Source organism: Homo sapiens, chromosome 13 (assembly GCF_000001405.40).
Source record: "Homo sapiens chromosome 13, GRCh38.p14 Primary Assembly".
NCBI lineage: Eukaryota > Metazoa > Chordata > Mammalia > Primates > Hominidae > Homo > Homo sapiens.
Genome location: NC_000013.11, coordinates 69,982,901 through 70,010,370, shown reverse-complemented (window position 1 = coordinate 70,010,370; position 27,470 = coordinate 69,982,901). Strand labels below are relative to the sequence as shown.

The following is a 27,470-nucleotide window of genomic DNA, read 5'->3' as shown; positions in this document are numbered from 1 at the left end:
AAATCCTTTTCTTTCTCTGATTTCAAATCATCATAATTACTTAGAGTGGTCTTTTACAACAGGCTTTTGATTGATCTTCTTCATTCCACCTTTGTCTAAATAATCTATTCTATACATAACACTAGTGATACTTCTAAAACAATCTGTTAATAGCTTTCCATCTTACATGGAATAAAATCTCAAATTCTTACCTAGGCCTACAAGACATTACAGAAAAAAGTTTCCTGCCATTTTCTTGACTTTATCTTCTATTGCACTCTCTTTTGTTCTTCCACTCTAGCTACACTTGTTTCCTTGTTTTGAAACTACCAAGAATTCTCATGCCTTGCTTTTTTTTTTCTCCTTCTTGTAATGCACTTTCCATAGATATACATATTTCCTCCTTACTCCTTTCCTTTGGTTACTCTTAAAATGTGACTTTATTATACAATGGTATCTTCTCTCTTTCATCCAGATTTTTTTCTATTGATTAGCATTATTCACAACTTGGTTTTTTTTCTGACCTTTTTTTGAACCCAAAAATATGTTACATGGGAATAGGAATTTGTCTTTTGTTTATTACTATGGATCCAAATTGGCAATAAATCTAGACACATAGTAGCATTTAACATGTATTTGACAAATGAATGGATTAATGAATAGCAATGAAATATACCTATTAGTTCCACATTACAGATGAAAAAATTGAAGCTCACATGGAGACAGGTTGTCTTGACCACATTTACATATCCTTTAAGTAACACAGCCAATATTTCAACGTCCATACTTCTTTTCCAACTCTCACTACCCAATAACAAAGAAGCCTATAGTCGCATCGCTGGAAGGTAGTAGAATATAAGTCCTTATTTTAGTGTTCAGGGTCCATCTCCTGAGTTTCTGCCGTAAAACCCACTTTTTAAAGTCATAGGGAAATAAATTGGGTTTCCCACATATTTTGTACAGCTTGTAAGCCTTTAAACATGCTCTTCTTGTTGAGAAACCTGTCTTCCCTGCCCTTTACCTATGCAACACCTAGTGTTTTCTTAAAACACAGTTCATGAATACTGTCCTCCAAGAAGCTTTGAATGACATCAGCTGCCCTCATGCCCAGAGTCTGAATTGAGTTAAATTTCACCCCTATGATTTCATTGCAGTGTGTAGTCTTCGTTCAAAGCACTACGACACTGTTGTCCTTGGTTTGTCTTATGTCTCCATAAGACTTATTAATAGAAGGAGTCGTGACTTACACAAATTTTTTACTATTTTTATTTTCACTACCTAATAATTCAATGCTTATGGTATAAATACATAAGGTTTTTCAAAACCCCCCAATTATTCTAAATGTTTAAAAAGTAGTGAATGTTATAATCTCATCTTTACTTTTATTGAAGCATCATATAAGCATGAACATTAATGACAAATTTAATGACAAATATAAAATCCAGAAGGAGAGAGAAGTGCATTGTATTGTGACAAGAATTATAATAATATTGATCCATTTTTGAGGTTGCTTTCTATTACAAGTGTACAACTTTCTAAATCAATGAAAATTAATTAATTTGATCACATCAAGTTGGCAGATTCATACTGGTGAATAATTAAATTGCTATCTTTGTTTTGGCATATATATTCAGTGCAATTCAAATAATTAATAGAGTTTTGTCTTCAAGTCTCTACAAAAATATAAATGATCAATTGTTTTCAGCATTTGAGTGAGAGAAAAGAGGAAAAAGATGTGAGGAGAATAATTGTGGGTTGTAAATGAAAACCACACTATTATGGATGGGAAAACTATAGGAAATATAGGAGAGATACTAAGATAAATGACCAATATTACTGTCCTAATAGCTTTTTAATGTATATATCAAATGGTTAAAAACATGCATATTTGGGTGCATAGCCAATGACGCACATGAGTGTACCACATATGGGGGCGCATACTACCAGGCATAGTAGATAGATACATACACACTTATATGTTCATAGAATGACAAAAACTTATATGACCTGAAAAGATATGGCCCAAGGCATGCATGAAATCAAGCTATGAGGCACAAGTGCATGTTCTCAATCAGTGAAACAACTTGAAGTTTTTCCTAAGTTGTATTCTCTGTGGATCAGAGAAGAATAACAATAATCAGTTTTAATGTAAACATTCCAAAAGAAACCTATAAATACTATTATGACAACCTGATTTTCCTTACAAGAAAATTAAAATACAAATAAACTATCTCCTAGGTCCTGTAGAAAATAATACTCTAAAAGATTTAGAAATTGAAAAATTTGCAGCTAGAAATCTTGTAAAAAGTGTATACTGTGATACTCCAGAAAACCAAATAGTAAGAGCCAATCATCAAAATAGATCAATATCTATTCATGCCATACTACATTAATTTTCAATATAAAATTATAAACTTTATAATCTTATATGTAAGCTAATGTGGCATTTTTGGGGCTGCTTTTGATCAACACCAGATTAGTTATCTATAAATTATCTGTAGGACTCAGGCAGTGCAAAAAATATGTCTTAGCCTGTAAAATTACTCTCACTGAGAAAATATTCACTCCTTGAGAGAAACATGTGGGTACAGAGACCTCTGTGTTTGTATTTGTTTTCTTGTTCTGTGTTTTAGTGAATAATTATGGTTTATGATTTTTTAAAATTTAATTTGTAAAGTAATACAGTACTAGGAAAGTTGAAATTATTTTCTATATAATGGTTCACCAACAAAGCTTAAATAGATACCTTACAGGTAAAGACAGATCCTATTTCCCATGACTATTTTTAGCATTTCCCTTTAAATTATTTAAAAGTATAGCTAACTCTTCAAGTCTCAGTATTATCTATTCTAGGCTACACTGCTTTTACCTAGATATTTATCCTATGTATGCCAGGAACTCAAAGTTTGAATTTCACTTTAATAAGTTTACTTGTGTTTTTTTTTTTGAGATGAAATATTGCTGTGTTGCCCAGGATGGAGTGCAGTGGCACATAATAATGTGTATCAATATATACCTATATAGATGTATATGTATTTGTGTGTATGAGCAATTGCTGGGAAATTGTATTTTGAGCAGAATAAAATTACTGGAAGAAACTTATAAAATGTCTAAATTCTAGAATTTTGTTGTGAGTCTTAAAAGTAAATATTTTTCAAATAAAAATACACATTTGATTTATTGCAATACGACACATTCCAAATAAACTTTTTCCATTTCTGATTTGTATTATCACGGTTTGTTGATAAGTTCTCATATTGTTTTGAGATTAACTTTCCAACAGCATTTCCCTTGAAACCTATGAAAGATGACAAAACAGTGGATTCATAATTTCAATCCGGTTGTTTTCTCTGAACACCAACAATAGCACCATAGCTCTTATGGCTATCATCAATAATATTATCAACTTTTATTAACTATAATCAAATGTAATACTAATGTATTTTGATATAAAAACAAAATGAAAAATAATTTGTACATATGCAAGAGTAACTTAAAAACATTGTATGATTATTTATAGTTTTCTAATTAAGAAAACATATATTCTTTGCAATTAATTTTTACTTAGAGTTCTAGATTTTGAGCTTGAAAGCTATTATTCTTCTAGCATATATATGTCAATAGTAATCTAGTGCTGTCAGCATGTACCTTTGCCATGTGACTTTGCCTTTGGGATCTTTCTCCCTAAAACTGGTAATAACCCCGACATGTCCATGAGAGAAACATTCAACCAATTTCCAGTAAGGGGCATCTTATAAAATACCTGATGAACAAAAGCCACTTAACAATGAAAGCCCCAGGACAAATGGCTTCACTGGTGGAGTCTACCAAACTTTTAACAAATAACTAATACAAATCCTTCTCAAACTCTTTGAAAAAAAAAAAAAAACTTGAGGGGGAATACTTTCGAATGTACTGAGTAAAGCAAAATCTAAAGTCAAAGCCAGGCAAAGACAATACAAGAAAGAAAAATTACAGACCAATATCCCCAAATAAAGATACAAAAATCCTCAACTAATTACTAGCAAACCAAATTCAATAACAGAATAAAAGGATCATTCACCTTGATCAAGTGGGGTTTATCCCAGGAATAGAATAAGCTATGAGATTAACCCAAATGTCCATCTATAAGCAAATAGATAAAGAAAATGTCGTATATGCATACAACAGAATATTATTCGGCCTTAAAAATAAAGATGGAAATTCTTGTCATTTGCAACAATATAGATGAACCTGCAGGACATTATTCTAAGTGAAATAAGCAAGACAAAGAGGGACAAATACTACATAAAATCATTTATATGATGAATCTAAAATAGTCAAACTCATAATAGCGAAGAATGAAATGGTGGTTGCCAGTGGCTGAGGGAAAGAAGAAAAATGGAGCATCGTTGCTAAATAGAAGTAAAGTTTTAGGAAGGCAAGATGAAAATGGTCTAGAGATCTGCAGTACAACATAGTCCGATAGTTAATACAATAATGAGCACTTCAGAATTTGCTAAAGAGAGTAGATCTCATGATAAGAGTTCTTACAACAGTGATTTTTCTTATTTTTACTAATATATGACAATACTTTATTGATTTAATGGGAACAGCTTGAGAGTATATTTTGGTACAAATAAAACGATGTATTTATTCTTGTTTTGATAATTTTCCCTGCTATACTTGGGCATTTATTTCATTTAAAATATAAGATATTTTAATCAAAGCGAAATAAGCAATACATTTGTTTCTAATTATTAAAACATGCAGTGTTTATCTTGTACATATGATTAATACTAGATACATTAACATATATCTAAAATAAGGATTTCTAATCTTTTGGCTACCCTGGGCCACATTGGAAGAAGAATAATTGTGTTGAGCCGCTCATAAAATACACAAACACTAATTATAGCTGATGAGCTAAAAAAAATCCAAAAAACAAATTTCAAAATGTTTTAAGAAAGTTTGCATGAATTTGTGTTGGGCCACGTTCTAAGCTATCTTGGGCTGCATGTGGCTTGCAGGCTGCAGGTTGGACAAGCTTGATAGAAAATGAATTGTTTTCCTAGACTATTTTGCACAGCAGGGATATATTAATCTTAATCAATTTAATTTGGTAAGATAAATATTTGCATTTTTTTACTATTGCTCATGGAAGTTTTTCTTAAAATTTAGTCTTCTGAATTTACTAATTTATTTTAGTTATTCATTTTAGATATAAATGTTTATTTTCTCTCTTTGGTAACCACATAATTTAAATTGAGATATTTATGAGTGTATATGTATATACTTGTTTTATAAGTAATCTTTACTATTTTATTTTTGTGTGTGTTGTCATTTTGCAATACAAAAACCTGTATTCTAAAAACATAAAATCCTACAAAACTAGGACTTACGTTACAATTATGACATTGCATTAACTGGCTTTACTTTCTTAATTAAAATTACTTGTAATATTTGTAGATAGGTAATAGATATAAACATAAATATATAGTTTTCTACAAAATATTAAAATATATTAATATCAGTTATAGTTATAAATATAATTTTCAAAGGAATAGTTCAAATTTCATTGTTTTCAGCTAGTAGTATTTTAATTAGTACAGTAATTTTGATTTATTTAACCCCAGAATGACATTCAATTTCATATAATAAAGTTATTTGGGTGTAATAAAAATGTAAAAACAATCACAACATTTTAAAAAAGTATTTTTAATGCAGAAATGGTTTGCCTTTAAGAATTATCAGACAACTTTAAAATATGTCATGTAAAGTCTTTGTACATATTTAAATGTGATGCAGGAATATACTGATAATATTACATTTATAATCATAATAATCAACAAAGACTATAATACAAAAAAAGGAAACGTGGACTAGTCAGGGGGATGGCAGGATAAAACTAGTAATTGTGGTATCTTCCAATTAGATTGCAATTGCTATAGAATCAAGCTATAACCTTCTAAGACAGTTTCCATGACCAAAGAAAGGGTCAGGACATAGCTAAAAGCAACATAATCTTGGACGCTTAGCATTTCATGGGTTATCAACCAGATTATTAGTGAAATGTTTTTATGTTCCTCTTTCTTGTTGTCATGTGTCATGGGGGTCTTTATTTATTTGAGGTCCTACGTTTTTCTAAATTTCTAATGTAACACAGTAGTTGGTAGCTTCCCCATCCTCAACTTTGGCTCTATTTCCAACCTTTCAGGACTGACCTTCCATTTATATTCACCAATCATTAGATAATAAATTTCTGTTTAGAGTATCAGTTAAAAACTTCTCATACATACCACCTATCAGCCATTAGTTGGCCTTAAAGGTAGGCCTCAGATAAAAGTTATAACCAGTATGAATAAACTAGTAACCATGTCTAAGAGGTATTGTGTATGATTTAACAACTAAAGATGAGTTCATACAAATATACATTGACCTTCAGATTTTGTAGATTTTTATCCTTGTTATATCTCTTCTTGTCCATTCTCTTAACACTGTCCGTATATTAAATTTGATGTGATCCAGTTCTTCATCATCTCTTCCTTTGTTTACTGCAATAGTCTCGTAATATATCGCCCTGTCTACAATCTCGTCTACTTAATTCCTTACTCCTAATTATCTCATTCATTTACTTGTTAATGGTTAAATGCTTAAAACAGCTCTTTTCCATGTGTTATGTAGTACAAAATTTCATGAAATATTAATAGGGGTTATCCTTTGTGCCACCCTCTTCCCTGAAAAATAAACAAATATAATAAAAATTAAATATTGTTTCAATGATAAATGCATTTGGAGAATGAAGCTAAACACAATTAAACTCACTTTATTTCTTTTATATCCTTTGTTGCTTTCAAGCATAACAAGAATCTCTAAAGGGAGGCAGTGAATATGACATTTTGCACATGGATTCTCTCTCTCTGGTTTGATCTCTTACAAATATTTCATGATGCACACCTCATTTGATTCAGCTTAAAATATCAATTGAATGTATTTAACATGTCATTGAAAATATTTTTCTCCTCTAAACTCCACACATCTCTATAGGAATCAGGCATCTGATTGCTTCTTCTTATGTGAAAAAAGTATCCACTTTTCTCTGACTCTTTTACATTTTCCCTTGAAGTTTAATTAATTCCCTTATTCATCAAAGTTTTCATCATGTTTCAAGGAAAAGCTTGAATATGATTTGATTATCAATCTTTAAAATATGTGCAATATTATGGAGAAAAGATTTATTTGTAGTTTGTATGCTCATAATTGTTATTTCAGTTTGAACATATTTTCACATATTTGTTTTCCTTTTTACTCTTTGGAATTGAATAAAAATATATTTTGTTCACTTTTCTGTTAGTCTTTTAATTGTTAATTTTTAAAAGTGCTTTGTAAAATCTAGGTATTATTTATTTGCATATCTACAAGCTCAATATATTCTCCAAGTATGTAGGTAGTATTTAAATGTGTGTATCTTATTTTCCCTAATAAAAATAATGAAAATACTTATGTTGTTATTTTTCCTTTTGGACATCTGGAATTTGTAACTTGCTTAAGAATGTATTTCAACCAGATCATGTAAATGTATGCCCATTCTCCCACTGATTTTTCTTCTACTTGTTAATAGTTTTGCTTTTTATACTTAGCACGTTAGCATATTTGAAGTTTATGACATCAAGTAGTGACTCGAGTTATTTTAATGGAAAGCAAGTCATGTTAAGATCACTTCTTGAACAACTTATGCTTTTGTCATTGACATGATGTGTCTAATTGAGGTTTATGTTGTATATATCCTGATTGGGGTTCACTGAGATTTTTGGATTTGTAGATTAAAGTATAAGTTAAATTTTGGAACTTTTATTATTATTTTTTATTTAAATATTTTCTCTGTCCCCTTCCCTCTCACCTTGCCTCCTGGGACTACAATGACAAAACTGTAGATCACTTGATATTTTCCAATATGCTTTTGAGGCTCCGTTCATTTAAAAAAATTTTTTTTCTCCCTTCCTATTTTTTCCTGGCCCTTACTTCTGCCAACTCCAACCAATCCAATTGATTTTATTTTCCTAATCTATTCATACATTAAGATTCTAATTATCTCTAAATTATTGAACACATTAATCATTCTTTAAAGACCTTGTCTGCTGTTCAAACATGCGGACCATTTTGGAATCTTTTTCTTTATTTAAAAATATTGTTATATTTTCTTCTTCTTTGCATGAATGGTAATTTTAACTGCATTATAAACATTGATTTTATGTATTAAGGAGTACAGAGGGAGTAATGCATAAGGAGTATGTTGATATCTTATAAAGAGTGCTGAATTTTGTTCTATCAAGCAGAACCAGTTATTTTACTAATAGCCTGCTTTAATATCATTGAAGATTGATTATAGGCTCTGTTAAGGTGGATGTAGATTAGCTCTTACTTTATTTTCTAGTTCTTCTAAGATATGGTCTTTCTGGTCTCAGTAGAATGCCAGCTCTTATAAGGTTTTCCAGTCCTTTGTTGCTAACTTTAGCTGTAAATTAGATGTTAAGCCTTAATTAGATATAATGCTTTCTCTAGTTTCTGATAGAAAATGTTAGTCAAGTAAATTTAATGAGCACTACATTTTTATCAAATAATTTTTGATTTCATGGTCTACTGACATAGTTTTATTATATGGATATTAAAATACACTAATATGATCTATTTAAGATAGGAAGATAGTAGAAAGATGATAGATAGATAGATAGATAGATAGATAGATAGATAGATAATAGATAGATATCCCAATGTTTCAGTAGAAAGATGATAGGTAGATAGATAGATAGATAGATAGATAGATAGATAGACACATAGATCATAGATAGATATCCCAATGTTTAAATGTTCTTGCAAACCTGAAATAAATCATACTTGGAATAAGGTATTCTTTTTAAGTACAAGTTATATAATCCATTTTATATGTGCGATTTAGCTTATACTTTACTTCTCTCATTTTGTCTTTTGTTGTTGAAATTGAATTGTACTAGGCTCATAATGAGGTGGAAATACTTCTATTTTTTTTCTTTAATGAGGATAATTCATATAACATATGACCTCTATGGTTTTTAAATGTTTGCAGAATTCGTAAGTCAAATAATTTTGAATTGTTATTTTTATAAGGTAAATATTTGACTACATTTTTATTTTTAATTATTCTTAGCTTATTTCTATTTCCTATTTCCTGTTTTATATTTTCTTAGAAAATTTGCCATTTCAGCAAACATTGAAATTTATCTGATTCCCATAACAATATCTCTAAAATAAATTACTAAACAACAAATAATTAAATACTACTTATAATTATTTACACAACAAATCATTAAATACATATACCATTTCTTTACTTTTTGTCTCTAATATCTTCTATTTCTATCTTATCCATATTTTCTATATTTTGCCAATTACTTTCCTGTCATCATTGATCTTATTAATATTCTGGCATCTATTTTTTGTTTTTTTTTCTGTAAGTTATATTTTATCTTTGCTTTTTTCTATTTTATTTGATCTTATTATCCTCATTCTTTTTATTTGATTTTAGAACTTAAAATTTGTTAATATTTACTTTTCTTTTTTAAATAAACATATATAAGTCTGCACACTATTTAATGTAACATTGTAGCTGTATTTTACAGTCACTTTAAATGTAATGCTGTTATTTGGAAACTTTGTTGTCATCTGTGACTTCTAGGTTCAGTAATTATTTAAATTATATTTTTAGAACTTCTTAGTAGACAAATATGTTAGCTATATATTCTTAATTTCCAGTGATTTTGCATTGTGGTCAGAGAATGTATTTCATGTCACTTATTTGTTATGTAATGTAAGGTAGTTTGTATTAATATTCCAAATACGTGTGAAAAGATCAATCAAACTTTGATATGCAATAGTTCTCTATATATTTAGTAAATCAGGCTTACTAACGGTATTATATAACTAATGTATATACGCTTTTTTTCTTGTTTTATTAGTTTTGGGAAGAAACTTTGTGGATTTTTCTTAATGTTTTTATACTTCTAGCTATTTGGAGGTTATGAATTTAAAAACATTTTAGCTACTTTCATTTTCACAATTTCTTCCTGACAGACTCTTTGATAAACATGAGCTATTCTTTTTTGTCTTTATTAATGGTTCTTACCATAAGTTCTTTGTGTCTAATATTAGTGGTTCCATCATCTCTTTATTTTGTTACAATTTGCCTCATGAATGTTTTTCCCTTTTTATAATTTCATGTCTTGGTGGAAGACAAGTGGAACCAACCTGTCACATGGCAACAGAGGAAGCAGGAGACAGAGAAAGAGGTGCCAGCCTCTTTTAAACAATCAGATCTCATGGGAACTAACAGACCCAGAACTCACACATTATTATAAGGATGGCAGCAAGCCGTTCATGAGGAATGTGTCCCCATGACCCAAATACCTCTCACCAACCCCACCTCCAACATAAGGGATCAAAGTTTAATATGAGATTTGGAGGTGACAAACATCCCGACTATATTAGTATCCATAAAAGGAAAGTGAAAGAAGGTAAATTTCATGTCTGGTCAGTGACCTGGGTTAATAATGCTAGCCTTTTTAGACAACCATCCATTCCATATACATCTTGTCCTCTGACAATGCCATATTTTGTCAGAGATGCTTACCTGCTAGGGTGAGCCAAGTCTTTGTTTCTGAAAGTTCTACCACAGTTCCACACTGGTCTTCATTACTGGATATAGGATTGCTAGGTGCCATCCCAGTCAGTCTCCTGGTTTCCAGACAGAGTCTTCTTTAGCTACAGCTTACAAACAACCTGATTTTTGCTTAGTTATTGGGATTAATCATCCCAATCTCTTACTTACCTATCGATTCAGTGGCTTGGGGAGCCCAAAATGCAGAAGGGAAAGTTTATACTTGAAATTAGGTCTGTCAAACCTTTCAAGCTCAAAGTTTTTATAATTTTAAGCAAAAAATGTATGTATTATCATAATAATGAGAAGGAATGCTGATGCCAGGCCCATGCATAAAGCAGATCTATGATTTTATCTTTCAACAAGTCATTGGGATCTTCTCATGAAGCCATAGACTTAGGTGACCACCGATGATCTTCGCCTTCCGGTAATCATGCTCTCATTTAAGCCCTCTGCTTAAGTATGGGCAGGACCTGAGACATGATTCTAACCCATATAACATGACAAAGATGTTACAGTGACAATCCTGTGATTATGTTACATTATATAATACATGTACATAATACATAATACATATACATATGCTACATAATACATATGTTACATTACATAATACATGTAGATAATATATCCTGTTATTAGATTCACTCTAGAGATCCTCTGTGCTTACTTGATGGAGAAAACAGCCATGTTCAGGAAGCCTATGTTGAAAAGAAGTGTCAGTGACCTCTAGGACCTCTAGAAGTGTGGGTGAGAGTGTCATACAAGACCTGGAGACGTCATGTGGGAAGTCAAAGCATCCCCCAGATTAAAGCCACTAAGAAGCCAGAGTCCTCAGCTCTAGAGACACAAAAAAATGACTTTTCCAACAAAATGGGTGAGCTTGGGTGCATACTCTTTTGCAGTTGAGCCTTCAGACTAGAATGTAGTCTGGCCAACAACCTTATTGCAGCCTTCTGAGACGATGACCAGACAACCCAAGCCATCAGAGAACCGATTTCTGAACTACTGGCCTACAGAAATTAGTTGTTTAAAGTCGATAAGTCTGTAGTCATCCATTACTATTAATAGCAAACTAATTAAGGTCCTAGTTATTGATTGAGGTAGAAGTGATGAAACAGGAGAAATAAGTACCAAGGGGATTGAGTTACATTTCCATGTGATTTACTTCTAGACCTGTTCACTCTTTCTCAGATATACAATTTGTGTGTAATGATGGAATGCGGATGTACATATTCTAAGATTATGTGAGCCATAGTCAGTTAATGGGGTCACAGTTGATTCCTAGTCCCCATTCTCTCTTAGGAGATGACTCTCAGACAATGTTTATTGGAAGTTGAAGTATAATTGTGCTCCCACACAATGGGAGCTCCCATTGTGTGAGCTCTAATTCTCCAAGTGGGCTAGCTAGAGAATCAATAGATCATTCCTATCAGTCATTAATATTTCTACTACTATTTGATCTTCTGCCTCCTAATGCCAAAGTTGCAGAACACCATGTCCAAAATCTCAGACCTAAAGCAGAGGCTTCTCTTGCTTTGGAACTGAGGCAAAAGTGGTAGACCAGTGAGCTTATTGGTAAATTGGTGGATGGAGAACACTTACATTTTACATGCAATGTCTTCAGTAAAGGACCTATCAAAACTTGTGCCTTTTTCTTAGTGTAAAATTGTGCAATCACCATAGAAAACAGTATTGCAGTTCTTCACAACATTAAAGTAGAACTATCATGTAATTCAGTGATCCCACTTCTGTGTATATATCCAAAAGAATTGAAATCAGGATCTCGAAGAGACACGTGCACTCCTATGTTTATTGCACTATTATTTTCAGCAGTCAAGATATGGAAACACCTAAATATCTATTGACAGAATAATAAATAAAGAATATGTGAGATATATATATAATAAAGAATAGGTGAGATATAAAATACATATTATATATTATATTATACATTTATATATTTATATTCATATAATATAAATATGTTTATTAATACATATGTTTATGTAATATCAATGTATTTATATTATATATATAAGTAATATTATATATAATATATTATTTAGTCAGCTAAGAAAAGGAAATCCTGGCATATACAACAACATAGATGAATCTGGAAGACATTATGTTAAGTGAAATAAGCCAGTCACAGATGGACAAGTACTACATAATTTTACTTATAAGTGGAATTTATAGCAGTAAAACTCATAGAAACAGAGGAAAGCGGTGGTTTCCCGTGGCTAGAAGGGAGAGAAAATGGGGAGTAGCTGTTTAATGGACATAAGTATTTAGTTATGCAAGATGAACATCTTGTAGACATCTTCTGTGCAACGTCGTACCTATAGTTACCAAATACTGCATTGTGCATTCAACAATTTGATGAAAGACATATTTCACCTTGAATATTCTTACCAAAATATTAACTAATTAAAAATAAAAAAGAAAAAATAAAATTTGAATAAAATAAGAATTAATTTTATTATTTATTCATTTATTTTTGAGACAGAGTCTCACTCTGTAGCCCAGGCTGGAGTGCAGTGGCGTGATATTGGCTCACTGCAACCTCTGTCTACCAGTTTCAAGTGATTCTCATGCCTCAATCTCCAGAGTAGCTGGAACTACAGACATGCGCCACCACATCCAGCTAATTTTTGTACTTTTAGTAGAGACAGGGTTTCACCATGTTGACCAGGTTGGTCTCGAACTCCTGACCTCAGGTGATCCACCTACCTTTGCCTTCCAAAGTGCTGGGATTACAGGCGTGAGTCACTGTGCCAGCCAAAAAAAAAAAAAAAAAAAAAAAAAAAAATTTAATGAATAAAATAAGAACTTTTCATAAAGGCAATTTCTTAACACAGTCAAATTTGTATACTTACTTTCACCAATGTCATAGGCCACTTAAAGTTTGTAAGATTTATCTCCTACCCTCTGACAATGAAGACATCTAGCATACTTGCTGTTTTTTGCCCTCTACATTTAATAATCGCAATATCACATATGGAAAAGTGTGTTGGTATATGCATTATCAAGGTAATTAAAGTTCTTCCTAAATATATGGAAAAGGAGAGTTGTGATTCTTCTGTAGCAAAACATTGAAGTGAAGCTTTTCTCCCCTTTAGCAGAACATAAACAAGTTTAGATTCCCCTAATAATGTTGCTTCTTTTTACAAAGTGTTATGGGAAGTTGACAGCTTCACACTAAGTTTCAAGGGATATGTGGATTTTCTGATGTAAAAATATCACATCTGGAGTATCAGCTTCAATTATCTTCATTGCCTGATTATATTAGTGATAATCTAGTTATTGTCTGAAATCCATCTGACATTTTTATCTTCCAAATAAATTAATTTGTAATATAATGGAATCTCTACTCTTTAATATTTCAAGGCTTTTTTAAATTTTTTTATTTTATTTTTTTTAAACGGAGTCTCGCTGTGTCACCATGCTGAAGTGCAATGGTGCGATCTTGGCTCACTGCAACCTCTGACAACCTGGTTCAAGCGATTCTCCTGCCTCAGCCTCCTGAGTAGCTGGGATTATAGGGACATGCTACCATGCGCAGCTAATTTTTGTATTTTTAGTAGAGACAGGGTTTTACCATGTTGGCCAGGATGGTCTCAGTCTCCTGACCTCATGATCCTCCCGCATTGACCTCCCAAAGTGCTGGGATTACAGGCGTGAGCTACCACGTCAGGCCTATTTCAAGTTTTGAATGTGATGCTGATATCTGAAAAGTGCTTATGAATGCAGTATAGCTTTTTGTGTAGCACTGTGTTAGGTGCCTGGTGATAGTTCAATTGACACATTCTTTCTTAATACACCTGACTCTGTGTGGGTCGAGACCTCAATATGAGAATTGTGACAGTTTCTGATATATCTTTTCCAACTATGTATTCTGAGACTGAGGAAATAACTAGGTTTAGCCTATTCATCTGGTGGAACACACCAGGGTATGGATGTGAGCAAATATACAATTTATTACCTGGCTTTCAAAGGTTTAGTCTCTGCTGCTGGATATTGTGGCATTTTAGGATTGTGAGGTACTTACTTCAATTCAGGGATCACATTTAATAACTCCTGGAATGCTTTTGGTATTTTTCATTTTCCAATATCTAATGCTTGTGAAAAGCATGGATAAATATTTCCATTATAGATTTGCAGCAATTTTACAGCATTCTTTCTTAAAGAATCCAGCCTTATAATCAGTGAAGCTTCTGAATTTCTGAACTAATTTAAATAAAATAACTTGGAGAGAGAGCATAATAATACATGATGACTCAATGCAGATTTCTACACAAAAGATCTATACATTTTCTAATTAAATAGACCAAGTAATAACTCAGTGGACTGTTCAGCTGTTTCATACATGATACCTTCATACATTCATACCTCATGATCAATTTTTTTTACCTCTGGAGTTGTATATACACACGTAAATCAACACTCTACCCTTGGAATCATAACAGGAACCACCAAACTTTTTCTGGGTAAAATACCAGATAGTAAATAATAGTGTAGGCCTTGGGAGTGTGGGGTATATGGTCTCTGTCATAATTACTTGACTTTGTTGTTGTCAAAAGAAACCAAAAATAAATAATGCATAATCAAATGAATGCTGCTATATTACAATAAAACTTTCTTTATCCTTAAAAGGCGACTGGCTTAACTGGGCTACTGGCAGGGATCTATAGTGACACTCGTGTCCACACTGTCTTTGGTACATTGTTGATATAGATACCAAAGAGCTCAATTCACTAGTGTCATCAGAGTCTATAGTTTGCTTAGCAGAGAGCTTTAAAAGTTCACTATAGGTTTTCTTGTCAGTGAATGTCTTAAAATGTCATAATGGTTTGGCCTTGTTAGATTCACTGCATAATTGCCATATATATTAGTATTTTTTAAAAAAATTTTTCCTCTACAGTATTCCTGGGAAATATTAGCATTACAGATTCTAGAACTCCGATTAATAGAGGCTTACGTTAACCCCTACAAGATTTAGATCCACTCCTCTGGATTCTTGGTAAGTAGAACCATACCAATTCATTTCACCCAGTTCAACCTTAATCTGATACCCTTTGAATCTTTTCCTATAGGTACTCCCAATGTACTTTTCCATATACATTAGTACAATACTGTAATTTATTTGATGTGTGATATATCTTGTAAGTGCAGAACTTGTGATTTTCCCTTTGGGCATAAATAGAAGGAGTAAGCCTATAGAGAATGAAGCATAGGAGGACAGGTCCTAAGGAAAAATAGGCATCATATTGCAAAGTATCTGCTCCTGGTAAAATCCTGGTGAGGGTTTTGAAGAGATTAGCTTCAAGAGTAGGCAGGTTTCCTCATTGGAGGAAGTGATGCTTCTGCAATCAAAGAAGGCTTAAGGAAAGAGTTCAAGTTTCTTGGCTTTGTTCATGCCCTCTAATTGTCTCCAAGTCTCAGAGCTCCACTCCTACCCAACCAGGCCTCATTAATAGCATAATTTTATGATCTTGTGTAGTAAACAGGCATTATGTTGTATATCACTGTTAGATTTGGGGCCTGATTCTTCCATATGCTTGTCCCGATGCTACTAGAGATAAAAGATATTTTAGGTCATAAAAGCTTCCCAGTTCTTTATCTGTGCCTTGAATTTGGAGTCATAGGCCCTAAGCTTATCATTAGTCCTTTGTACATTCTCAATCCCAATCTACACTCTTTATAACTTCCATTGTTGCTAAAGCATTTTTTAAACATCTAGTTAATGACCCAAATCTTTGTCCTTTATCAGCTCTATATTCCATGTCTCTACTCTGGATATTTTGAATAAATGTGATCTCTATATTTCTCAAACATGTTAGGCTTTCAAATTCCCATTCTGATGCCAGTATCTTGGGGTCATCCCTAGTACCAAACACTCAAATTGGAAAATGTATTTACATTGAGGAAATTCATCATGGTTGTTTCCAATGAACATAATTAATGAAGAAATTTTTTACCTAGATATTGCAGTATTTGGGGAACAAATTAAATAATAAGGCATCCAGATGAGAAAAATGGAGTCCATTACTACCTCTAGGCCTGAAGGGAGAAGGGGAAGAAATAATATACCTGGAATTCACAGTCAGCATGGCAACATGGAGTGACTGTGTTGGACAGACTAGCTCTTGGAGGAATATATGAAGGGAAAGTTTCATATGATTAAGGGAATGGGAAAAATAATACACCGACCTCTTTTTCATTCTTCGTTGTTCAAAAGTGTGTTTAGAGTCCTGAACTAAAGAATCCAGGAGTGACCAGCCTGGAGATTGATTCCTTATTTATGAGGAACCCCATCCAATCCCATGGAATGCAGGCTGTACAGGGGATGAAGCTCCTTCATTTGGAGTTAAATGAAGATTGCCAGGTGGAGGTTATTAGGTGAAGATTGCTAAGTGAAAATGCTATATAAACTGCATGCTGTTTACAAGCGTGGTGGTTCTGCTATGGCTCTCCCAGACACTGGACCATCCTTGTTTGTAAGTTCCCCTTGATAAACCCTATATCTCATTCATTGGTTCTGGTCTCTTCTTCAGCCTCTAGAACGTAGTGTTATTCCTATTGAAGTCAATAGGGGTCCAACATGACATTCATTCAATATAAGATTGAAAAATTATATATGTATATATAGGCAAATAAATAGTGTTAGTTGACACTAAAAATGATTAGGCCTGCTTATGGCAGTTTAATTTTTATCTGGGATGATTTACTAATCAATATGATTTTAAAATTTCAGCTGAGTTACTGACACTGTAAGAAAGGTACATGTTTTTTTTTTCCCTCTGCAGCATATTTATATACAAAGAGTAAAAAAGGAAAAACATTATCTCATATTGACTATATGCCTTTCTTCACTAATTTATTTAAGTAATTCATTTTATATCTTATTTTGTGAGTTGTCTTGCAATGACATATTGGATCAAAGGAAGAGCGTTAGTATAAGAATGAGGGAGTCTGAATGTAGTTCTTGGTTCAGGCTTTCACTAATCATGTTTCTTTAGCTGGTTTCTTTACCTTTTGGAATAATGAAGTAAAATAAGGAAAGATAAAGGATCATTCTGTATCCAGAAGTATTGACTTGAATTCCAGACTAATTATTTTCTAGTTTTATGGTCTCATATGAATTTTTTGGCCTTCTGTGTTTTGGTCTCCTCATCTACAAAGTAGATTGTAGTAACATCAACCATCCGCTTATACTCTAAGTCTAGCTAAGGCACATATTTCTCCACACAGCCTTCCTTCTATTTATACAATCTGTATGCAAATTCAGGTGGTTCAGCTTCCTTTCTTAATTCAGAGCCCAAATTATATTATGTCAGCACTTATCAGTTAGTTCTTTTGGTCATTATTAGTCTTCCCCAAACAACTAGTTGCTCTGAGTTGTTCAAAAGAGATTGTAATATGTTTATCTTTAGGTCTTTCAGTCCTAGAATATCAGCCCTGAGAGTAGGCACTCAATACATTTGTGGCAAATTTAACTAAATGGATTATTAGAAAAAAATGACACAAATATTTCAATTATAAAATAACATAAATTTAAAATAATTTCATAAAATGAAGTGTTTCAGTAGATTTCGAAGTTTCTGGCCAGGACATATACTAATATTCTGTGTCAGTGATTCTCAAACTTGAGCATCCAACAGAACCTCCCAGAGGGCTTGATTCATTAGGTCTGAGGTGGTGCCTAGTACTTTGCATTCCTAGCAAGTTCACAGCTGATGTTGATGTTCAGGGACAACACTTCAAGAACTATAGCTTTAATATTAACAAAATGGAAAGTACATTTTGTGCAGAAGTGGGTAAAATAATTTAAAATAATTCATATATAAAATGCCCTTATGCTTTATATTAATAAATTCTCCTATCATGTTTATCTCTGGCTCTCACTTGAGTGGCTTCATAGAATGAGTTGAGGAGAAGTCTCTCCGCCTCAATTTTTTGGAATAGCTTCAGTAGGAATGCTCCTCTTTGCACTTCTGGTAGAATTTGACTGTGAATCCATCTGGTCCCAGGCTTTTTTTTTTTGGTTGATAGGCTATTTATTACTGATTCCATTTCAGAGCTCATTATTGGTCTGTTCAGGGATTCATTCAATGTATATGTCCAGGAATTTATCCATTTTTTCTACCTTTTCTAGTTTGTGTGCACAGAGATGTTCATAGCAGTCTCTAATGGTTATTTGTATTTCTTGGGGTCAGTGGTAACGTCTCTTGTGTCATTTCTGATTGTGTTTATTTGGATCTTCTCTCTTTTCTTCTTTATTAGTCTAGCTAGCAGCCTATCCTGTTTTTTGTTGTTGTTGTTGTTGTCATTGTTGTTGTTTTCAAAGAACCAACTCCTAGATCTGTTCTTTTGTGTGCTTTTTTTGTGTGTCTCTATATTCTTCAGTTCAGCTCTGATTTGGGTTGTTTCTTGTCTTCTGCTAGCCTTTGGGTTGGTTCGCTCTTGTTTTTCTAGTTCTCCTCATTGTGATGTTAGGTTGTTAATTTGAGACCTTTCTAACTTTTATATATGGGTGTTTAGTACTATAAATTTTCCTCTTCACAATGCCTTAGCTGTGTCCCAGAGATTCTAGTATGTTGTACCTTTGTTCTCATTACTTTCAAATAACTTCTTCATTTCTGTTTTAATTTCCTAATTTACTCAAGAATCTTTCAGAAGCACGTTGTTTAATACCCATGTAATTGTATGGTTTTGAGCAATTTTCTTGACCTTCATTTCTATTTTGATGCTCCGTGGTCCAAGAGTGTGGTTGGTATGATTTCAGTTTTTTTGAGTTTATTCAGGGTTGTTTTATGTCCAATTGCATGGTTGACTTTAGAGCATGTACCGTGTGACAACAAAAAGTATATATTCTGTCATCTCTGAGTGGAGAGTTCTGGAGATGTTTATTAGGTCCATTTGGTCAAGTGTTGAGTTCAGGTCCTGAATCTCTTTGTTCATCTTCTGCCTCAATGATCTGTCTAATACTGTCAGCAGGGTGTTGAAGTCTCCCATCATTACTATGTGTGAATCTAAGACTCTAATAACTTGTTTTATGAATCAGTGTACCTGTGTTGGGTGCATATAGAATTAGGATAGTTAGGTCTTCTTGTTCAACTGAACTCTTTACCATTATGTAATGCCCTTCTTTGCCTTGTTTGATCTTTGTTGGTTTAAAGTCTTTTGTGCTTGAAATTAGGATTACAGCTCCTGCTTTTTTCTGTTTTCCATTTGCTTGGTAGATTTTTCTTCATCCCTTTATTTTGAGATTATGCATGTCATTGCAGATGAGATGGGTCTCTTCAAGACACCATACCCCTGGCTCTTGCTTTTATATCCAGCTTGCCACTCTTTGCCTTTTAATTGGAACATTTATCCCATTTACATTCAGGGGTAGTATTGATATGTGTAGATTTTATCCAGGCATTGTGTTGTTAGCTGGTTATTATGCAGACTTGCCTGTGTAGTTGCTTTATAAGGTCACTGTCTGTGTACTTAAGTGTGTTTCATAGTGGCTGGTAATGGTCTTTCCATCTTTAGTGCTGCTTTCAGGAGCTCTTATAAGGCAGTTCTGTTGATAACAAATTCCTTCAGCATTTGCTTGTCTATAAAGGATCTTATTTATCCTTTGCTTATGAAGCTTAGTTTGGCCAGATATGAAATTATTGGTTGGAATTTATTTTCTTTAAGAATGTTGAATATAGGCCTCAAATCTCCTCTGGCTTGTAGGGTTTCTGCTGATCAAGTCTCTAGACTTAGAGAAAGAAATAAAAGGCATCCAAATAGGAAGAGAGGAAATCAAACTATCCCTGTTTACAAGTTACATGATTCTATATCTAGAAAACCCCATAGTCTCTGCCTCAAAGTTCCTTGAGCTGATAAGCAACTTCAGCAAAGCTTCAGAATACAAAATCAATATACAAAAATCAGTAGCATTCCTATACACTAACAACACCCACGCCAAGAGTCAAATCAGGAAGGCAATCTCATTCACAGTTGCCAAAAAATAAAATAAAATACCTAGAAATACAGCTAACCAGGGTAGTGAAGGATCTCTACAATGAGAATTACAAAACACTCCTCAAAGTAATCATAAATTACATAAACAAATGGAAGAATATTTCATATCCTTGGATAGGAAGAATCAATATTATTAAAAAGGCCATACTGCCCAAAGCAATTTATAGATTCAATGCTATTCCCATCAAACTACCAATGATATTCTTCACAGAACTAAAAAAACTAATTCTCAAATTCATATGGAACCAAGGAGCCTGAATACTCAAAACTATTCTAAGCAAAAAGAACAAATCTAGAGGAGTCATACTGCCTGACTCCTGACTTCAAACCATACTACAATGCTACAGTAAGCAAAACAACATGATACTAGTACAAAAAGAGACGCATAGACCAATGGAACAGAATAGAGCCATGAAATAAAGCCACATACCTACAACCATGATTTTTGACAAAGGTGACAAAAACAAGCAATGGGGAAAGGATTACCTATTCAATAAATGGTGCTGGAATAACTAGATAGCTACATGTAGAAAAGTGATACTGGACCCCTTCCTTACACTATATACAAAAATCATTTCAAGACAGATTATAGACTTAAATGTAAAACATAAAACTATAAAAATCCTGGAAGATAACCTAGAAAATACTATTTTGAACATAGAAACTCTCAAAGATTTCATCGTTAAAATGCTAAAAGCAAATTCAGCAAAAGCAAAAATTGACAAATGAGATCTAATTAAACAGCCTCTGCACAGCAAAAGAACCTATCAACAGAACAAACAGACAACCTACAGAATTGGAGAAAATATTTGCAAATTATACATCTGACAAAAGGACAAAAGCTCTAATATCCACAATCTATAAGGAACATAAACACACACACAAAAATCAAACAACACCATTAAAAAGTGGGCAAAGACATGAAGACACTTGTCAAAGGAAGACATACTTGCAGCCAATATACTTATGAAAAAATGTTCAATATCACTAATCATTAGAGAAATACTAATCAAAATCACAATGAGATATTATCTCACACCAGTCAGAATGGCTATTATTAAAAAGTCAAAAAATAACACATGCTAGCAAGGTTGCAGAGGAAAGGGAATGCTTACACTCTACTGGTGGAGAGTGTAAATTACTTCATCTGTTGCGGAAGACAGTGTGGTGATTCCTCAACTAAAAACTGAACTAACATTCAACCCAGCAATTCCACTACTGAGTATATACCCAAAGGAATATGAATTATTCTACCATAAAGACACATGTATGCATATGTTTATTGCAGCACTATTCACAATAGCAAAGACATGGAATCAACCTAAATGCCAAACAACCATAGGCTGGATAAAGACAATGTGGTACATATACACCATTTAATAGTATGCAACCATGAAAAAGAATGAGGTCATGTCCTTGCAGGAACATGGAAGGAACTGTAGGCCATTATTCTTAGCAAACTAACGCAGGAGGAGAAAACCAAACACCACCACACATTCTCACTTATAAGTAGCAGCTAAGTAATGCGAGAACATGGACAGAAACAGAACAACAGACACTGGGGCCAACTTGAGGGTGTAGGATGGGAGGAAGGAGAGGTTCCCCCCGCCAAAAAAAAGCTATTTAGTATTATGCTTGTACCTGGGTGACAAAATAACCTGTACACAAAACCCTCGAGTCATGAGTTCGCCTCTATAACAAGCCTGAACATGTACCACTGAACCTAAAATAAAAGATAAATTAAAAAAAAAGAAAATTGAAATAAAACACAGTCTTTGCACTTGTTTGTAAGTAGCAGTTTATTCTACATTTAATGTATCTTTTCATAGTAATTGTTATTTTAGTTCCATTATTCTGAAACTTTTGTACTAAGGATACCTATATATGTATAAATATCTATGTGTATATTGCCCATATTATTATAGATATTTATATGTTTCTATTTTTATCTGTGTATTTTACTCTAAGAGTCATTCATATAAATTTCAAAGAGAGCCAAAACAAATCTTTAGTGTAAGAAATCACAACAGTTGTTATCATTAGGTAAAACAATGGAAAAGAGTTCTTTAGTAGTCCTTCTTTCCTTCCTTCCAACCTTCTTTACTTCCACTGTCCCTCCTTCCCTCATTCCCTTTACTCCACCCTCCCTTCCTTTTCACTTCCTTTTTTCTTTCCTTTGACCTAGATTAAAGTTATTTACATGTTTTTACTTTGTGATACTTCACCAGGAAGGCAGAAAAAAAGCTGATTTTTATTGAATAGCTGAAAATATAAATAAAGGACATTAAGCTCATTTGTAATTTTCAGTATCCATTTTGAGGTTCTATGAGTTTCTCTCTCCAAAGTAATTGCTGCAAGAAAATAGTTTTCTTTCATTATTGTATTAGAGAATTTATAAAGCAATACTCATAGCTCAGAGTTTCTGTTTTAAAAAGAAAGTAACTACCTTTTCACTCTATTCTGGTTTATTTGAAAAACAGAAATAATACCATCGGTTTAATTAGTATTTTTAGTGTAGTCAGAGATACATTGCGAATGGTGAACTTGAGTAGAGCAAATGTGTTTCATTTCTGGCAAACATTAAGGTATTTTAAAGGAAATGGTATTTTAGATGATATATAATAAATTTTTTATGATAATTTCAAATAGTTTGGTGTACAGCTATATATGTATAAACATATATTTTATCTTGTTCATGATCTAAAAAAAGTACAGTTAATTTATCATAAAATATTATTTACTGTTGGATATCTAATACAAAGACTTCTTGTCTATTATGAAAATATCACTATTACAATAATCATTAAGTTGGAATCTCATCAATTTTGAATATTAATATTTACAAATAATAAGTATGTCAGAAGTTTAGGTTATTAAACACATCAAGTATCTTGACATCACTTCAATTTCTTTTCCTTTGATTTCCTGTCCCCTCAACACTAACTCATCTCTAAGAGTATAGAATTATGTAAGCAAAACTTTGGTAGGAAAAATCTTTTTCTGAATATACATATTTGGATAACATTCAAAATTTCTTACCAAACATCAGCGTATCTTATTTTCATAATAGAACTTTTTTTGGCAACACTCCATAAGAATAAAACAAGCAGCAGAATGTAATTCGCATAGTTTTCTAAATTTATGGTAATTATATGTTGAAATAAGAATGGTTTAATATCAACTATAGAGTTAGATTCACTTGATGTTTGAAGTTTTTGTTTGTTTTTAATTGATACATAATAATTATACATATTTCTGGAGTACAGTGTGATATTTCCATATATGTATACAACGTGCAATGATAAAATAAGGACAATTAACATATCCATCACTTCAAGCACTTGTCATTTCTTTGTGATGAGAACATTCAAAACCCTCTCTTCTTGCTATTTCGAAATATGTAATAAATTACTATTAACTATAGTCAACCTACTGTGCAACGGAACAACAGAACTTATTCCTCCTGACTTTAACTTTGTATCAATTGATCAATCTCTTCCCATTCTTCTCTCCCCACAGTCTCCTCAGCCTCTGGTAACCACTATTCTACTCTTTACTTACATGACACCAACTTCTTTAGATTCTACACATAAGTGAGAACATAGTAATATTGGTCCTTCAGTACTTGGTTTATTTTACTTAAAGTAATATCCTGGAGGGTATGAATAGTATTCCACACAATGGAATACTATTCATCAATAAAAAAGAATGAAATTCTGTCATTTGCAACATGAATGATCCTGGAGGATATTACTTTAAATAATACATATATATTTACATATATATATAACTTACATATATATACTTATATACATACACACACACACAGTGGAATACTATGTATATATATATCTATACACACACATAAGATATATATATAATATATAATATATAAATATATATAAAATATATATATATATATATGGATCACATTTTTGTTTATCCATTTAGCCTTTGATGAACACTTAGGCTGATTAGCAATTTTGTCTATTGTTAATAGTGCTGTAATAAAATGGGGTTGCAGATGTATTTTCAACATATTCATCTCATTTCCTTTGGGCATATACCCTGTAGTGGAATTGCTGGATCATATGGTAGTCTGTTTTTTCTTAAGAGTCTCCATACTGGTCTATAATGGCTGTACTAATTTACATTCCCACCAACATAATATGAGTTTCCCTTTCTCCATATTCTCACCAGTATTTTTTATATATTTTTTTCTTTTTGATAACAACCATTCTAACAGTTATAAGGTGATATTTTATTGTGATTTTGATTTGCATTTATCTGATGATTAATGAAGTTGAGCATTTTTCATTTTTCTTCATATATCTATTGGCCATTTGTATGTCTTCTATTGAGAAATGTCTATTAAGTTCTTTTGCCTATTTTACACTCAGATTGGTTTTTTCTTTGTTTTCTGCTATTGACTTGTTTGAGTTTCTTATATATTCTGAATGTTATCCCCTTGTCAGATGCATAGTTTGCAAATATTTTCTCCCACACGGTAAGCTGTCTCTTCACTTTTTGATCTTTTTTTGCACAGAGGTTTTTTGTTGTTGTTGTTGTTTGCTTGTTTGTCTGTTTTGAGACAGAGTCTCGCTCTGTCATCCAGTCTGTAGTGCAGTGGTGCAATCTCGGCTCACTGCAAACTCTGCCTCCCAGGTTCAAGCGATCCTCCCTGCTTCAGCCTCCTGAGTAGCTGGTATTACAGGCGCCCGCCACCATGCCTGGCTAATTTTTCTATTTTTTTAGTAGAGACCAGGTTTCTCCATGTTGGCCAGGCTGGTCTTGAACTCCTGACATCATGCGATCCGCCCACCTTGGCCTCCCAAAGTGCTGGGATTACAGGTGTGAGCCACCACGCCCAGCCTGCACAGAAGTTTTTAGGTTGATATAAACCTGAAGTGGCATTGTTTGGGGTAATACTCGAGGTCCCTTGCCTCATGCCGAGGAAATCAAGAACATAGACACACATGGAGTGAAGTTAAGAGCGGAGGTTTAATAGGCAAAAGAAAGAGAAAAGAAAATAACTCTCTCTCCTGAAGAGATAGAGGAGTGCCCAAGTGGGTTTTCCAGTCCCCTGGGAAATGCACGGGTTTTACAGACTAGCTAGAGGAGGCAGTATCTGATTTACATAGAGCCCAAAGATTGGTTGGACCAGGTGTGACATTTACCTAGCTCAAAGAAGCTGGCTGCCCCACCCTAATCTTTTATTATGCAAACAGTTTTTCTATCTGGCAGGCATCATGTTGTCTGCTCCTTACTGTACACGTGGTTGGCAATGAAAATGGAAGATGGATCTGCCATGTTGAACATGCCTGGCCTCTAGGTAGTCTTTTCCTATTGTCACGATTGCCAGCATTCACCTGTGCAAGATTCCAGTTTGCTTATCTATGTCTGCAGCTCGATTTTAAAGGCTGCTTTTTTTCAGAAAAGAAATGATTTGGGGGCTGCTTTTTATTAAAAGAGAAACCTTACCAAGGACATCCGTACCCTCACTATCTGCCTAAATAATTTCTTTTTAACTCCTATACCATTCCCGCTTGTCTATTTGTACATATGTTTTCTGTGCTTTTGAGATCTCATCCAAAAAAGTCCTTGCCCAGACCAATGTCATGAACCATTTTCCCTATGTTTACCTCTAATAATTTTATGGTTTCAGGTCTGACATTTAAGACTCTAACCTATTTTTAGTTGACTTTAAGTAGTGAGAGATCGGGATGTTGTTTCACTCTTCTGCATGTGAATATCCAGTTTTCCAAGCATCATTTACTGTGGGATCTTTGTCAAAAATCAGCCGTAAATGCATAGATTTATTTATTGGTTCTCTAGTCTGTTCCATTGGTCTATGTATCTATTTTTATGCCTGTGCCATGCTATTTTGGTTAATATTGCGTTGTAGTATAGCTCTTTTTATTTATTTATTTTTGAAATAGGGGCTTGCTGTGTCACCAAGGCTAGAGTGCAGTGATGTGAGTACAGGTCATTGCCGACTCTTAACTCCTGGGCTCAAGCGACCCTCCTGTCATAGCCTCCTGAGTAGCTAGGATTCCAGGAGTTTACCATCAAACACAGCTTTTTTTTTTTTTTCTCTTCTTCTTCTTCTTTTTTTTTTTTTTTGTAAAGATAGGGTCTCACATTGTTGCCAGGATGGTCTCAAACTCATGGCTTCAAGAAATCTTCCTGCTTTGACCTCCCAAAGTGGTAGGACTACAGGTGGGAACCACCGCACCGAGCACAGTATATTTTAAAGTCAGGTAGTGTAATGCCTCCAGCTAGTTTACTTTTTTACTCAAAATGGCTTTAGATATTTGGGATCTTTTCCATATAAATTTCATACAAATTTCAAGATTGCTTTTACCATTTATTTGAAAAATATCATTAGTATTTTGATAGTGATTTTATTGAATCTGCAGATCACTGTAGGTGGTATGAGCATTTTTAAAAATTATTATTCCAACCAATGAACATAGGATAACTTTTCATTTATTAATATCCTCTTCAATTGCTTTCATCAGTATTTTGTAGTTTTCATTGTAGAAATCTTGCACCCTCTGTACTATCTTTATATTTAGGGTCTTTAAAATAGATATAAATGGGATTGCTTTATTGATTTCTTTTTCAGATAGTTTGCTGTTGAGGTAGAAGAATACTACTGATTTTTACATTTTGATTTTATATCTTGAAACTTTACTGAATTTATTATTTCTAACAGATTTTAGGTGGACTCTTTAAGGTTTTCTACATATAAAATCATATCATCTGCAAACAGGGACAATTTAATTTTTCCCTTTTC

At 33.0% G+C, this 27,470-nt stretch overlaps 1 protein-coding gene across 3 annotated transcripts in view; it reads left to right on the top strand.

Annotated features, from left to right (window-relative positions):
- Positions 1 to 27,470, top strand: part of KLHL1 (kelch like family member 1) — a 407,856-nt gene that overhangs the window by 98,082 nt on the left and 282,304 nt on the right. Inside the window, exon 1 of one of the 3 annotated variants that reach the window (XM_017020678.3) lies at positions 15,463 to 15,671. The exons of the other annotated variants lie outside the window; for them this stretch is intronic. The gene's annotated coding sequence lies outside the window, so the exon portion shown is untranslated. Of the gene's footprint in view, positions 1 to 15,462; positions 15,672 to 27,470 lie in introns of those variants that run through there. 3 annotated transcript variants of the gene reach the window in all.